The 16,992-nt window shown below is 38.9% G+C and overlaps 1 protein-coding gene across 18 annotated transcripts in view; it reads left to right on the forward strand.

Annotated features, from left to right (window-relative positions):
* OSMR (oncostatin M receptor) overlaps window positions 1-16,992 on the forward strand; it is a 99,568-nt gene that overhangs the window by 39,005 nt on the left and 43,571 nt on the right. For 16 of the 18 annotated variants that reach the window (XR_925661.1, XR_007058659.1, XR_007058660.1 and 13 more), the window contains exons 6-7: window positions 333-468; window positions 1,023-1,174. Coding sequence is in view for 15 of the 18 variants with exons in the window: in XM_011514161.3 (XP_011512463.1) it covers window positions 333-468; window positions 1,023-1,174 (288 nt within the window). In the remaining 3 variants the exon portion in view is untranslated. Of the gene's footprint in view, window positions 1-332; window positions 469-1,022; window positions 1,724-16,992 lie in introns of those variants that run through there. The other 2 variants (NM_001323504.2, NM_001168355.3) reach the window with 1 other exon arrangement.

The raw sequence follows: 16,992 nt of genomic DNA on the forward strand, positions 1-16,992 counted from the left end.
ATTCTGTGAGCCACAGCACCCGAAATGAAACATTGGCAGGCACTGGGGATACAACCCTTGTCAAATGGACATAGCATCAGCCACTTGCATAACATGGACCATCCATGCCCATGACATCTCAGAAAATCACAAGGGCAGGAAGGAGAAGGGGCCAAGATGAGGTGACCCCTGAAAAGTGACTTTTGGAGGCTGTTGATAGGTAGCCTTCCACCTCAGTGACCCCTTCCTTGTTCACAGTAACTCTGTGGCTTCAGACTCTAAACAGAGCTTTCCATTTGGCTTATCTTCCAATAAAAAGATTTAACTAGGTCTGTTTTCCTTTGTATGGACAGAAGTACTTGAGGAGCCCAAGGACTTTTCTTGTGAAACCGAGGACTTCAAGACTTTGCACTGTACTTGGGATCCTGGGACGGACACTGCCTTGGGGTGGTCTAAACAACCTTCCCAAAGCTACACTTTATTTGAATCGTAAGTTGGCTCTGGTTACATTATTGACAACTTCTTCCTTGCTTGAGGTGCTTGTGACAACATGGCAAAAATCTACACTTAGATGTTGCAGGAAATTTGAACAAATATTTCAGAACCACCTGCCAAGGTCAAGAGGAAACCTTTAAGTGGTGACAAGTGTCTAATACTTTCTACCTGAGGTTTTTAAAAAAGGAACATTTAGCATAGCATGGTAAGAAAGACAGTTAATGTATACCTTGACGTGAAAATAGTCCTGTCTGATAATCTGGGTTTACCCAATTTCTGACTTTTTAGGAATATTCCAAGTAAATTAAGGGATGTTCTTGCCACCCACGGGGAGTCAGTGATTCATGTTAAGACATTTCAGCACGTATGTCAAATTTGTAGAAACAATATTTTCGTTATTGGTATTTGTTGGTGATGGATGGATCAATGCCATTATGGGGAACATAGTTTGACAGTCACTGAGTATGCCCTGAGGGATAAGGGATACATTTGCTTTGACAAAAGTAAAAACCTCGTAATGGTTGTGTTATTTTGTTTTGTTTTTAAAGATTTTCTGGGGAAAAGAAACTTTGTACACACAAAAACTGGTGTAATTGGCAAATAACTCAAGACTCACAAGAAACCTATAACTTCACACTCATAGCTGAAAATTACTTAAGGAAGAGAAGTGTCAATATCCTTTTTAACCTGACTCATCGAGGTGAGACTAGAGTTGTCACAGCCCACCGTGGCCACTAACGTGTCTTTGTTTCACAGACTGTGTGATCAAGTAAATGTGCTGTAGATCTTTGCCTCATTCACAGCGGAGGTGAGAGTTAGAATTTATACCTATTGTTCATGCCACGTTTCTCCTCATGGATGCACGCATCCCCTATTATTTGTTTCTTTTAATAATGTCACGAGCACCAATGAGCTTACTACCCAACTTCAAAACTAGGACTCTAACAATAACTTCTGTCATATCTCATCCTGTAACGCCCCCACCTTCGCTCCTTCCGCCAAGATAATTATCACTTTAAATTGTGTGCGTGTGTATTCTCATTTCTTATGTGATGGTAAAAATGCCTTTATTTTGTTTGGTTTTAATGCATAGAAAGGACATCAAGCTGTATGTAATAATTCAGTAATTATGTTTATATAATATTAAATTGCTAATATTTGCCCATATTGTTTAGTGTTGCTGTAGTCCATTCACTTTTACTGCTGCGTAGTATTTCATTGTGTAAATATTAAATATTTTATTCATGCATCCCCTTTGATGGATTTGCAGGTTGTATCAAAGTTTTTGCTCTTGGGTACATGTTAATATGAACATTTTTATACATGTGTCTAGTACACATCTACAATTGTTTTTCTTGCATATATACTTAAGAGTTGGATCAGATGTAGAATATGTTCAACTTACAGGATAAGGTCAAGTTGTTTTTCAAAGGAGTAATACCAATTATACTCCCACCCTGTAGATTCATATATTCTTACCAAGTTGGTATTGGCACTTTTTTGTATTATTGCCAATTAAATGGCTATAAAATGGTATTTCATGATAGTCTTGAGATTGAATCTCATGAGTATTTTGGCCACATCTGTTTTCTCTTTTATGAAAAGCTTATGCAATTTGCACATTTTTTGTTGGTAAGAATATTCATATATTCTTGATACTGATTGTTGTCCATTTCTTTACTACTAATACCTTCTCCCAATTTGTAACTCACTTTCTTTTATATGTCTATTGATTAACAAAAGTTTATCATTTTTAAAGCAGATAATTTTATAAAAATATTTTAAAGGTATCATTTCCTACCCCAAGATCAGAAGGACAGTCACCTATAAGTTTTTAGCAAGAAGTTTAAAGGTTTTTAAGAAGACAAATTCCAAATCCATCTGGGATTGATTTTTTTATATTAAGTGAGATAGGGTTATGACACTGATTTTTTCTGTTTGGTAACCATTTTTCCATATCTGTTTATCAAATAACTCTTCCCTCCCTATGATCTGACATGCCACCTCTTTCACTATTATGAAAGTGTAAGAGAGTTCTGGATTCTTAATTCCACTGGTTGGTCTGTTTATTCCTGCACTAGTATTACACTAACTTTTAAAGTTTCAGATGAGTCTTGACATCGGGTAGGATAAGTCTCTCACCCTATTCTTTTTCAGAAATATCCTCACTATTCTTGGTGCCATACTCTTTTATGTAAAACTGATAATTAATTTACCAAATTCTATGAAAACCCCTCCTGGGCTTTTCATGGGATTTGCACTTAATCTATAAATGCAACTTGGAGAGATCAAAATCTCTATGTTACTAAATCTTCCTGTGCGTGGACATAGTATATTTTTATATTTCTTTAGGCCTCTGTTAAAATCATTTCATAAAGTTTTAAATTTTTCCCTTGTATACTTCTTGCATATTTTTTGTGCTACTGATACGGCTCCAATGACTGGAGGAACATCAGGGTTCTTCGTTTCGCGCCGGTTTGGATAAAACGACACAGACACACGTGGAGTGGTTTTAAGGAGTGAAAAGTTTAGTAGGCAAGAAAGAAGGAAGGAGGAAGGAAACAGCTCCTCCATGCGAGACAGACGGAGGAGGGATTTGAACAAAGAGAAAACCCCATGTGCAGCAGAATAGTGGCTGCTTATAAGAGGAAGCTGGAGGAGTTGGTTTCTGATTTGCATAGGGCTGAGGGGATTGGTTTGACCAGGCATGTCATTCACATAGCACAGGGAAAAACTGGCCCTCCCGCCCTAGCCTTTTAATATGCAAATGCAGGGCACCTTGATGTTCTGCACACGTGGGGATATGTGGGGGCTGCCATGTTGCTAGGCACATGTTGGGGCAAGGAAGAAGGCGGCCCGAATTGCCATGTTTGGGTGGACCCAGTTTGTTTCTAATGGCCAGCATTTGCACACTGAAGTTTGGGTGGGGTGGCGGGGGTGGGGTCGAGGGAGAGGTTCTAAGAGCCAGGGCCTTTCTGCAAGACAGGAAACATTTCTGGAGCTGCTTTAAAAGAAACAAAAACTTCCCAAGGACCCCTTTTAACTCCTATAACACTATAGGCACTTAAAAATTTCCTGAAAACAGTTAAAATCATTGTTAGCATATATCCTTCCCTCTTTTCTTTCTCCATTTTGAAATTTTTAAATTTTAACTCCTTTCTCATTTAAAAATAATTGTACTATATCATCATTGTCAGAGCACATAGATATTACCTGTTACATCATCTCCCTTTTAAATCTTGCTGCATCTCGTAAGTCCACAAGTATATATGTTTAATGTTCACCATTAGAGCTTATGCAAATATTTCTCTGGTCATTTTGATTATCTGAAATTTATTCCCTAGTACCTTCTTCAGAAAATGTTTATGGGAACAACAGTCCCCTGAATTTTTGAATGTCAATGAAAGTTTTACTCTGGTCGTTGTATTTAATGGTCAGTTTGAATAGATATAAAATTTTTAGCTTATATTTTCTTCCTTGAGTATCGTGAATTTTATTGTTGCATTTTTTTTTCTGACATACAGCAAGGCTGATGAAAAGCCTAGTAGTAATGATAATCTATTTTTTTCCCCATTAGAAGTCACTTGGTTTTTTTGCCTAGATGCCCAGAGGATTTTTTTCTTTTTCTTTAAAACCTTTGTCTTGGTGTTGGCTATTCTAGGTTGATGTGTTCAGTAATATGGTACATTCTTTCAATATGTAGTATCAAATATTTTTTTAATTCAGGAAGTTTTTTGAATTATAGTTTTTGGTATTTGTTTGGCCGCCTTCCCTTGGTGTTCTTTTCCAGGAATTCCTGCTAACTCTAGATTGAATCTTTTTTCTGATCTTTAATATTTGTCGCTTTCTCTTGAATTACTTTTATCCCTTCATTTATTTTATTTTAAACAATTTTTTCTCCCTTTACCTCCTATTTGCTTAAGAAATTATCTGTTGTGTTTTTTTGCTCTGGTAACTACTTCCAGTTTAACGTCTTCAATTTTGAATTTATTTTTTGTTTTATATCTATTTCTTTCCTGAGTTCTGTTACCTCATCCATGATGTTTGCTAAATCTGATTTATATTGTTCTCTAATATCTTTTATCACTTTTACAATGTCTTTTAGTCTATTTTGAAGTAATTGTCTTATCATCATATTCATTTCTGCTGTATCTGTGGTTGTATCTTCTTTTCCATTCACAATATTATCTATATGTGCCTTTGCTCTTATTATTTGGTAATCTTGCTAGAAGTTTAACTACTTTGATTTCTTTTTGAAAAGAAACCAATTTTGCTTTGAAAATTAATTCTTTTTATTGTGTTTTGTTGTTGTTGAATTTCCACTGTAATTTTTATTACCTGTTTTCTTCTACTTTCTTGGATTTTTTTCTGTTGTTCCTTTTACTTTCATAAGTTGGATATTAGTTCACAAATAAAATATTTAAAGCTACACATTTCCATTGAAATGCCAGTTTTATGGCATCCACAACAGTCCAATAAGTTTTAACTTAACATTGCAGTGCTTTCGTTATAACAAACTATATATGATACCATTTCTAATCCATGAATTAATTTGTGTTTCAAATTTTCTAAAATGAAATTTTATTTTTTTGTTATTAATTTTTAACAAAAATTCACTGTGGTCGTAGAAGGTGTCTATGTGATACGTGTTCATTGAAATTGTTGAGGTTTGTTTTATGGGCTTGTACCTTGCTGAAAGTGTGGTCTATGGACCAGAAGCATCAGTATCACGTAGGAGCTTTGTAGAAGTGCAGAATCGCAGGCCCCGCCTCAGTCCTACTGAACCTGGCAAATATACTGAACCTGAGTCTGTATTTTAACAAGGTCATCATGCATGGCAGACAAAGCAAAATTTTTATGCCAGGCAGAAATAACTTATATTATTGCTCTGAACTCAAGATTTTGACTTGTTAATCTGAGAGCCTAAATTTTTATAAACATTTATCTAGTTCTTTTCTTTTTAGATTTTCAGTCTTTTAATTAGCTATTATATCACCCTAAGCAACTGCTAGCAAGGCAAACCTAATTTTACATTTCTGAAAGGATGACTCTTAGGTGTACAAGGCTAGGTTGTTGGTTGCCACAGAGCTGTTGTAATTTGAAAGCCCCCTCTTTTTTTTTTTTTTGTCTTATCTTGGCTGAAATGCCTTAAGAAAAACTTCTGATTGACTTTTGAAATTAGCAACAGTAGAATATCTTAACTCAAGTGAAAAAGTCAATAGATTCAGAGTAAGCAGAGAAGAAGAAGAAAAGAAAAAAGAGATAAAGAAGTTGGGAGCCTCTATATACCAGCATTTAAAAAAATTCTATAGTTGTAGTTTCTTAATTTGGTACCGAGAAAAACAAGCCTGGGGACGTTGAATGATTCTTAAGATGACTATTGACTGAAAACTGTGCACAAGGAAGAGCCATGTAGCCAGGCAGAATACTTGGCATGCCCGAATACTGGGGGAATCCCATTCTATTTGCTCTTAATCTCTCCAGACCAAATGAATCCTATAAATCCTGTCAGGGAATGACAGGGATTTAGACCAGTGTTTTAGATGGTGATTAGCCACCTTAGTGGATTTTAATTGGCCATCGCGTGGCCACTATTTACAATATCTTTGTTCTCAGAAGACATTGAAAAGCAAGCAAGAGAAAAAGAGCCAAATTATTTACAGATGCACATAACCAAATCAAAATGAAACCAAGGTCAGAGTACTTGCAAAAATTTTAACTCAGATGTGCAGAGCAAACAGAATATTAAATCAGGTGTGCAGACCAAACAGTCTGATTTTGTAGAAATCAGGAAGGAGGCAAGGTGCTCCCAGGAAGGATGCAAGGTCCTTTCTTAAGATGGCTTTGTTTCTAGTTCAAGAGGACTGACTAGACGCAGCTAGTGTGCGCTGCTCTCACAGAGAGGAAACAAAATGGTCTATAAATACTAGCTCTTTAAGTGGATTGTCTGAGACCTCACATCAGGATTTACAAAGGAGGCAGCAGGCCCCATGGAGAACAGAGATGAGCAAAGCCCAGGCAGCTCCTACTGGGACTGGTGTGGAGCCAGGGGAGGCTCCCTAATGTGGGGAAAGGGTGAACAAGTGAGAGTTTTGGGGGAATCCACACTTACACCATGGACCTTTGTAATCCTGGGCACATGAGAACCCACCTGCCCCTGCCCCAGGCCTCTGGACTAACAGAGAACTGCCTGGAGTCTTTAGAGAGGTACCATTCAAGACCACATGGAGCTCCACAGGCCTTGGATCCCTGAGCAACCTGGTGCTAGCTGCTGTAGCCCCAATAGCGGCCATTGCCACGGTGCGGAGGAGTGGCCAGACTGTCCCACTGCTCCTCACTAAGACTCATTGGTTTGGGCTTCTAGTGCAGCAACCGCACCCCTGCCTGAACACTATGGCCAGTGTGGCTCTGCGTTCCTCCAGGAAGCACCCAGACTGCAGATCACATGATCCCCCACCCCTGCCGCCCTTCTCCGGGCAAGGCTCATGGCTTGGGCTCCAGCACAATAACCACACCCTCACCTGAACACTGTGGGCAGTCATGGCTCTGAGTTCCTCTGGGGAAAAACTCCCAGAGGTAGTAAGGTGTGGCACCCGTGCGTGCCCCCAAAAGTGAAGTCCAGCATCAGTTGGATGGGAGGAAGCAGGAGCATGTCATGCACCCCACAGCTGTGTGTCTTCATTGCTTCAGCTGAGAAATCCTGCCCTCCCTGGTGAAGGGCCCATAGCCTAACCTCCCTGCCACTACCTGAACATTTCAGCTGTGGCCCAGAGCCCTTCTGAAAACCCAGCCCCCACTGGCCTGGGATATTCCCTTGGGCTCCCACCATCTAAGTGTTCTGCCTGCCCCTGCCTGAGAGTTAGTTTGGCTGGAGACCTGGTGGCCAGCCTGCCCCACCCCATCATAGACAGCACCTGAACTCCAACCCCAGTCTAGCCCCTTCAGAACTCATACATGTTGTCCTGTGGGTCATCTAGCTCCCTGGGAACTGTGGAAATACCTATCTCACTGCAACCACTTCCCCTGAAGCCTGAGATTAGGCTGACTCAACTAGCCAACACCACCGTAACCAACATCCACTCACGTGGGCCCAAAGGTGATGTCCCCCCATACAAGAAGTAGCAGTACTGCCACATCGGAGAACAGACAAGCCATAAAGCTATCTGTATTGGGTTGAGTCATGAGATTATGCTGTGAAACCACTCCCACAGAGTCACAAAACAGACATTTCCCATGGCTTTCAACCACATTGTGGACTGCAGATAGACTACAAGGTACACCTGAACTAGGAGTCACAAGTCCTAGAACAGGGGAGTGATAGGGAAACAACTCAAGTTCCTGCCTATCTAGGATGGGGAGCTGGTGACGCCACCTTACCCCCTACCCCTACAGAGACCTAAGTGCACTTACAGGAGCTTCTTCTAGCCACCCTTGCCAGGGCTAGTGCTTGTGCTCACCATTGGGGTATTTGTGGGCAAGCCAGGGGCTCCAGCTCTGCCCACATTTGTCACCCTACCTCTGCAGAACAGGAACCCCAGAGTACTGGGCACTCTACTGTCCAGGGCTTCACCTGAAAAAACAGAGCACTTCACAGTAAACACAGACAGGATACTTACCTGCCTACTTGTGTAGCAGCTGGCTCTTACCCGCAAGTGTCATCTACTGGCCTATAGGCCAAGCCATGCAGCTCCAAATGAAACCTGCTGACAGAAGTACCTAGGGCTATAGGTGCAAAGCCAAAAGACCTTACCCCCTCCAGATGAGAAGGAAAAAGCATAAGAATTCTGGCATCATGAAAATCGAAATGTTGTGACAACATCAAAGGATCACTCTAGCTCCTGAACCCAAATGGAAACTCAGAAATGACAGATAAAGAATTTAAGGCATCAATTGTAAGGAGGCTCGAAGAGATCCAAGACAAAGTTGAAAATCAACATGAAGAAACTTCTAAGTCAGTCCAGGAAATGAAAAAAGAGAAACATCTTGAAAAGAAATCAATTAGAACTACTGGGACTGAAAAACTCACTTAAGGAATTTCAAAATACAATTTAAAGCTTTATTAATAGACTGGATGAAGCAGAAGAAAGAATTTCAGAGCTTCAAGAATGATTTTTTCAAACCTAGTCAGACAAAAGTAAAGATAATTTTAAAAAATGAACAAAGTCTTTAAGAAATATGGCATTATGTAAAGCCACTAAACATACAAAGTGTTGGCATTCTTGAGAGAGCAGGAGAAAAAGTAATCAATCTGGGAAACAAATTTGAGGGAATAATAGAATAAAACCTCTGTAATCTTGCTAGAGAGGTAGACACCCAGATACAAGAAATCCAGAGAACACCTGCTGGATTCTACACAAAACGAACATCACTAGGGCATATAGGCACCAGATTGTTTAAGGCCAGCACTAAAGAAAAAATCTTAAATGCAACTAGAGAAAAAGGTCAGATCACATACAAAGGGACCCCCATCAGGCTAACAGTGGACTTCTCAGCAGAAACCTTACAAGCCAGAAGAGATTGAGGGTCTATTTTCAGCATTCTCAAAGGAAAGACATTCCAACCAAGAATTTCATATCCTGCCAAGTTGAGCTTCATATGTGAAGGTAAAATAAAATATTTTTTCAGATAAGCAATTGCTAAGGGAATTTGTTACCATTAGACCAACCTTACAAGAAATCTTTAAGGAAGTTCTAAATGTGGAAACAAAAGAACAATACCTGTTACCACAACATCACACTTAAGTACCTAGCCCATAGACCCTATAAAGGAACCGCAGAATAGAAACTACAACCAGCTAACAACTTCACAATAGGATCAAAACCTCCTATATCAATATAAATCTGGAATGTAAACAGTCTTAACACCCCCACTTAAAAGGCACAGTGAATTAAATTAATTATTGAATGAAAAAGAAAAAAAAAGAAAAAACAAGACCAATCTGTCTGCTATCTTCAAGAGACCCATCTTACATGTAATGACATCTATAGGCTCAAAGTAAAGGGTTGGAGAAAGATCTGTCATAAAAATGGAAAACCAAAAAGAGCAAAAAGATATTCTTATATCAGGTAAAACAGACTTTAAACCAACAACAGTTAAAAAAGACAAAAAAAAGGCACTACATAATGATAAAGGGCTCAATTCAATAAGAAGACTTATTGATTCTAAATATATATGTACCCAATACAGAAGCACCCAGGTTCATAAAACAAGTACTTCTTATTTTATTACCTACAAAGAGACTTAGATAAGCACACAACCACAAAAAAATAGTTGGGGACTTCAACACCACACTGACAGCATTAGATCATCGAGGGAGAAAACTAACAAAGAAATTCTGGACTTACATTCAACACTGGACAAATTGGGCTTAAAAGACATCTACAGAACACTCCACCCATCAACCACAGAATATACATTCTTCTCATCTGCACACAAAATATACTGCAAGATTAACCAGATGCTCGGCCATAAATCAAGTCTCAATAAAAGCAAAAAAAAAATAAAAACTTTTAGGTAAACAACAAAATGAAGGAAGAAATTAAAAAATTCTTGGAAATAAACAAAAACAGAGACATAACATACCAAAATCTCTGTGATGCAGCAAAAGCAGTGTAAAGAATAAGTTTATAGTGCTAAATGCCTGCATCAAGAAGTTAGAAAGATCTCAAATTAACAATCTAATATCACACCTAGAGAAACTAGAAAAACAAGAACAAACTGACCCCAAAGCTAGAAAAGAAAATAAATAACTAAAATTAGAGCAGAACTGAATGAAATTGAGACCCCAAAACCCATACAAAGGCTCAATGAAACCAAACACTGGTTTTTTGAAAGGATAAACAGGATTGATAGACCACTAGCTAGACTGTAGTTTTGATTTGTATTTCTCTGATGATCCATGATGTTGAGCACTTTTTCATATGCCTGTTTGCAAATTGTATTTCTTCTTTTGAGAAATGTCTATTCAGGTCTTTTGACCATTTTAAAATCAGATTATGAGATTATTTTTCCTATAGAGTTGTTTGAGCTTCTTATATATTCTGGTTACTTAATCCCTTATCAGATGGGTAGTTTGGAAAAAATGTATTCCCATTCTGTGGTTTGTCTCTTCACTTTGTTGATTGTTTCCTTTGTTGTGCAGAAGCTTTTTAACTTAATGAGATTCTATTTGTCCATTTTTGCTTTGGTTGCCTGTGGTTGTTGGGTATTACTCAAGAAATTTTACTTGCATAAATTATTCCAATGTCTCGGAGAGTTTCCCCAATGTTTTCTTGTAGTAGTTTCATAGTTTAAGGTCTTAGATTTAAGTCTTTAACACATTTTGATTTGATTTTTTATGTGGCTAGAAATCGGTGTCTAGTTTCATTTTTCTGCTTATGGATATCCAGTTTTCCCAGCACTATTTATTGAAGAGACTGTCCTTTCCCCAGTGTATGTGTTTTGGCACCTTTGTAAAAAATAAGTTTACTGTAGATGTTTGGATTTATTTGGGGTACTCTAGTCTGTTCTACTGGTCTATGTATCTGTTTCTATGCCATTACCATGCTGTTTTGGTTACTATAGCTCTATAGTATAATTTGAAGTCAGCTAATGTGATTCCTCCAGTTTAGTTCTTTCTACTTAGGATAGCTTTGGCAATTCTGGGTTTGTGGTTCCATATACATTTTAGGATTGTTTTTTCTATTTTTGTAAGGAATGTCTTTGGTATTTTGATATGGATTGCAGTAACTATGTAGATTGCTTTGAGTAGAATGGACATTTTAACAATATTGATTCTTCCCATCTATGAACATGCAATATGTTTCCTTTTTTGAGTCTTCTTCAATTTCTTTTATCAATGTTTTGTAGTTTTCATTGTAGAGATACTTCACTGCTTTGGTTAAGTTAATTCCTAGGTATTTAATTTTACTTGTTGCTATTGTAAATGGGATTACTTTCTTGATTTCTTTTTCAAATTTTTTGCTGTTGGCATATAGGAATGCTAATGATATTTGTATATTGATTCTGTATCCTGCAACTTTACTGAATTTGTTGATCAGTTCTAATAGTTTCTTGGTGAAGTCTTTAAGTTTTAACAAATATAAGATAATATCATCTGCAGACAAGGAAAATTTGGCTTCTTCCTTTTTATTTTGGATGCCCTTCCTTTCTTTATCTTGTCTGATTGCTCTAGCAAGGACTTCCAGTACTATGTCGAATAACAGTGGTGAAAGTGGGCATCTTTGTCCTGTTCCCAATCTTAGAGGATAGGATTTCAGTTTTTCCCCATTCAGTATGATACTAGCTACGGGTCTGTCGTATATGACTTTTATTGTGTTGACATATGTTCCTTCTATACCCGTTTTTTTTTTAGTGCTTTTATCATGAAAGGGATGTTGAATTTCATCAAATGCTTTTTTAGCATCAATTGAAATGATCATATGGGTTTTGTCCTTCATTTTGTTGATATGATGTAACACATTTATTGATTTGCATATGTTGAACCATCCTTGCATCCCTGGGATAGATCCCACTTGGTCATGATGAATGATCTTTTTGGTGTGTTGTTGAATTTGGTTTGGGAGTATTTTGTTGAGGATTTTTGTATCAATATTCATCAGTGATATTGGCCTGTAGTTTTCATTTTTTTATCTGTCTCTCTCTGGTTTTGGTATCAGGGTAATACTGGCCTAGTAGAATGACTTTGGACATATTCCCTCCTCCTCTGTTTTTCAGAGTAGTTTGAGTAGAATTGATATTAGTTCTTTAAATGTTTGGTAGAGTTTAGCAGTGAAGCCACTGGGTCCCAGGCTTTTCTTTGCTGAGAAACTTTTTATTACAAGTTCAAATTTGTTACTTGTTTTTGGTCTGTTCAGGTTTTGGATTTCTTCATGGTTCAATATTCTTAGATTTATGTGTCTAGGAATTTTTCTATTTCTTGTAGATTTTCCAATTTATTGCCATATAATTGCTCATAGTAGCCACTAATGATCCTTTGAATTTCTGCAGTATCAGTTGTAATATCTCCCTTTTTATCTTTGATTTTATTTATTTGGGTCTTCTCTCTTTTTTTCTTGGTCTGGCTAATGGTTTGTCAATTTTGTTTATCTTTTCAAAGAACCAGTTGGTCTTTTGTATTGCTTTCTTCATTTCAATTTCATTTATTTCATCTCCAATCTTTATTATTTATTCTACTAACTTTGGGTTTGGTTTGCTCTTGCTTTTCTAGTTCTGTATTAGGTTGTGTATTTGAAGTTTTTCTTCTGTTTTGATGTGGGCACTTATGGCTATAAACTTCCTTCTTAGTACTGCTTTTGCTGCATCTTATAGGTTTTGGTGCATTGTGTTTCTCTTATCATTTGTTTCAAGAAATTTTTCAGTTTCCTTCTTAATTTCTTGATTTGGGAGCATATCGTTTAATTTCTATGTAGTTTATAGTTTCCAAAATTCCTCTTGTTATTGATTTCTGGTTTTATTCCATTATGACCAGAGAAGATGCCTGATATTATTTCAATTTTTAAAACTGTTTAAGACTTGTTTTGTGACCTAACATATAATCTATCCTTGAAAGTGATTGATGTGCTGAGGAGAAGAATGTATTCTGCAGCCATTGTACAAAATATTTCTGTAAATATCTATTAGGGCCATTTGTTCTATAGTGCAGATTAAATCAGATATTTCTTTGTTGATTTTCTGTCTGGAAGATTGGTCTAATGCTGAAAATGGGGTGTTTAAGTCTTCAGCTGTTGTTGTATTAGGGTCCATCGTTCTCTGTAGCTCTAATATTTCTCTGTATATCTGGCTGCTCCAGTGTTGATTGTGTATATATTTATAATTGTCATATCCTCTTGCTGGATTGACCCCTTTATAATTACGTAATGACCTACTTTGCATCTCCGTATAGGTTTTGTCTTGAAATCTATTTTGTCTGGCATAAGTAAAGCTACTCCTGTTTCTTTTTGGTTTCCATTGTCATAGAATATCTTTCCATCCCTTTATCTTCAGTCTATATGTGCCTTTATAGGCTAAGTGCATTTCTCATAGGCAACAGATCATTGGGTCTTTTGTTTTTAAATCCATTCAGCCACTCTATGTCTTTTGATTGGAAAGTTTAGTCCATTTACACTCAATGTTATTATTGATAAGTAAGGGCTTACTCTGGCCATTTAAAAATTTGTTTTCTAGTTGTTTTATGGTCTTATCTTTCTTCTTTCCTTTCTTCAAGTCTTTCTTTTAGTGCAGGTGATTTTTCTCTGGTGGTATGATTTAATTTTCTGCTTTTTCCTTTTTGCATATTCGTTATACATATTTTTTTAAAAATTTGAGGTTGCCATGAGGCTTGCAAATACTATCTTATAACTCATTATTTTAAGCTGATAACAACATAATACTGCTTACATAAACAAACAGGCAAAAAACTCTACCCTTTAACTTTGTCTCTCTACTTTTTAACTTTTTGTTGTTTCTATTTACATAATATCTTTTTTTTTTTTTTTTTTTTTTTTGAGACAGAGTCTCACCTGCTCTGTTGCCCAGGCTGGAGTGCAGTGGTGCGATTTTAGCTCACTGCAACCTCCACTTCCCAGGTTCAAGCAGTTCTCTGCCTCAGCCTCCCAAGTAGCAGGAATTGCAGGCACCTGCCACCACGCCTGGCTAAATTTTGTATTTCTAGTAGAGACAGGGTTTCACCATGTTGGCCAGGCTGGTCTCAAATTCCCAACCTTGTGATCCACCCACCTCGGCCTCTCAAAGTTGCTAGGATTACAGGTGTGAGCCACTGTGTCCGGCCTAAGGCCCAAGGACTCTTTAGTCAGCTTGTGGTGAATGCTGCCAGGCCTGGGACTCACCTTTTAGGGCAGTGGGCTCCTCTGTGTCCCAGGTCAGATCCAGAAATGCCAGCCAAGAGCCAAGGCCTGGAATCAGAGACCCCAAGAGCCCACTTGTGCTCTACCCCTGTCTCCAAGTTAGTACCTAAGGTGCAAGACAAAATCCCCTTTACTTTTCTCAAGCAGAGGGTGTCTCTCACTGTAGGCACTGTAGTGGGTCTCACCTGAAGCCAGCACGTCTCAGAGTCTCACCCAAGGCCCATGGTATACTACTTGGGTATTGCTCCTGGTTATTCAGGGCCCAAGTACTCTTTAGTCAGCAGGTTATGGGTCCTGCTCGGACTGGGTCCTTCCCTTCAAGGCAACAGGTTCTCTTCTGGCCCAGGGTGTGTCTTTAGAAATGTCATCTGAGAGATAGGGCCTGGAATGGGGGCCTCATGACTCTGACTGGTGCCCTGTCCTACTTTGGATAAGCTGGTATCCAAGATGCAAGACAAAGTCATCTTTACTCTTCCCCCTCTTCTCCTCACGCAGAAGGAAAGGTTTTCTTTTGGAGCCATGAGCTGTGCTGCCTGGGGTTGGAGCAGGGGTGGCACAAACACTCCCTTAGCCTTCCCAGCTAGTGTCTTAGTAGGTCATCTTTCCCCAAAGTCTGCTTGCTCTAAGCCCGGCTCAGCACCATGATTCACCTAGGAGTTGCAGTCCTTGTTGCCTAGACTGGCTTTCTAGTTTATTTAGGGCCTTAGAGCACTTCAGCCTACAGTGGTGAGCCTCGACAGAATCACTGGGTTCCGACTGCTGGGATGGGTGATTCCTCTCTGGCTGGGGCTCATCTGAATGCTCCCTCTGTAGGCGGATATCAGCTGAGTTCAACCTGGTTTTGCTTGCTTTCCCAGTGACTGGGCAACACTGAATTCCATGCAGTCTCTCAATCACCGTGCTCTCCCTCTCCTAAGTGCACAGAGGTTCTGTCCATGACACAGGGCTGCTGCCAGGGAATGGGGGAGGGGTGGCATCAGTGATTTAAGAATATCTTTCTTCCCCTTTTCAGTGACTCTTTCAGTGATATGATGTCAAAGCCAGGTACTGTGAGTGCCTACTTGACTTTTCAGTCTTATGAAGGTGCTTTTTTTCATATAATTGTTAATCTGGTGATCCTGCAGGTGGGACAATCGATGGAGCCTTCTCTTTAGCCATCTTAGTCTTGCTTCTGAGATACCAGTATGCCAATCTAAATAACAGAGAGGGAGACTCTAAAAGAAAATGATATATATTCAGGAGTAGACATTGCAATGGGAATACATGTATTTGGGAAGGTAAACAAAGACAAAGGTTTTTAAAGAAACAATGAGAAGGATTACATAATGTTTTCAGATAATTATTTTTGACTACAAGGATCAATAACAAGGGCGGTGTCAGTGTAAGGCTGGATAATCCAGTTGCTGGACAGATGTCCTTGTAGAAGTATTTTTTTTGTGTAAGGTTGTGTTGACCTTTGTGCATGGTTGTGGCTTTTACAGGTTGTTTCAGGATAGTTTTGTTTTCAGGCATTGGTGTAAGAGAGCCCTTCCTGCGTGACCTTACCTGGCTCCATTTTCAGGATTTTGTTTTTTAACATAAATGACCCCATTTTGATTCTGACAACTTTTATGCTGCAAGCTCTTTCCATAATTCTTGTCCCACACAGAGGATTCCTTAATCAGTCCAGTCACTCAGTTGTTTTTCTTCTGACAACATGGCTAGGCTATTGGCAATGGCCCATGAGTCTGTGAAAATACAGCAAGATATGGTGAGTAAGGCGGCTGGCGTGGCCATTGCCACTGTATGTAGTTTAGCCTATTGGATAGAATGTCCATGTCCAGTCTCAGTCAAAAGTTGGCTATCTATTGGCCAGATGGTGGTGGCAGCCCAATGGACCCCATCTGCTTTTAGTTTGGCAGAACTGTTAGTAAACCACGCCAGACCATTGGTAGGCATATTTTTGAACCCATAGGAGGAGCCAAAACATCCTCAACAGGTTACTTGGTCACTTTTGGTTAGCTAGCCATTTATACATGGAACCTACTGGTCCCTTGGGATCTGGGTGGACATGATCTTAAATGTGCCAGTTTCGATGTGCCAGTTTCATTTAATAATCGAGCTCTGTTGAGCCTGTCTAATTTGATTGGTGGAGTTTGCATGAACCCAAGTAAGAATGGGCATTTCATGTTGTAGTGTCATGTATGGTGCTCTGGCCATAAGATGCTCAGTGTCCAGAGACTAGTGCCTAGTAGCAAGCAAGGAGTTGCTGTTTAAAAGCGGTGTATCTGGGGGCTGCTTCAAGCAACTTATATGTCCAAAATGTGAGAGGCTGGTACATCCCAGTGGTAGTTTTTTCTTGCCAGAGACTCCAATCAGCGTGCATGGAGGTTTTGGACATCTGTAATTTTATTGAGCTAGCAGGCTTTAAGGGTTCTAAAAGCAGTGCCTGGACCACAACTTGTTGAATGGCTTCCAAGGCCTGTTGTCGCAAAGAACCTCATTTAAAATTGGTGGGTTTGCTGGTCAATTTGACTAAGGAGAGCAAAAGGACACCCAGGTTAGGTATATGTGGTCTCCAGTACTCAAAGAGGCCTACCAGCTGCTGGGCCTCATTTTTATTAGAGGATGCCACAAGAGACAACACTTTTGTTTGGCTGTATCGGGGATACTTCTTTGGTGTTCAGCTTAAGTG

Source organism: Homo sapiens, chromosome 5 (genome assembly GCF_000001405.40).
Source record: "Homo sapiens chromosome 5, GRCh38.p14 Primary Assembly".
NCBI classification, from domain to species: Eukaryota; Metazoa; Chordata; class Mammalia; order Primates; family Hominidae; genus Homo; species Homo sapiens.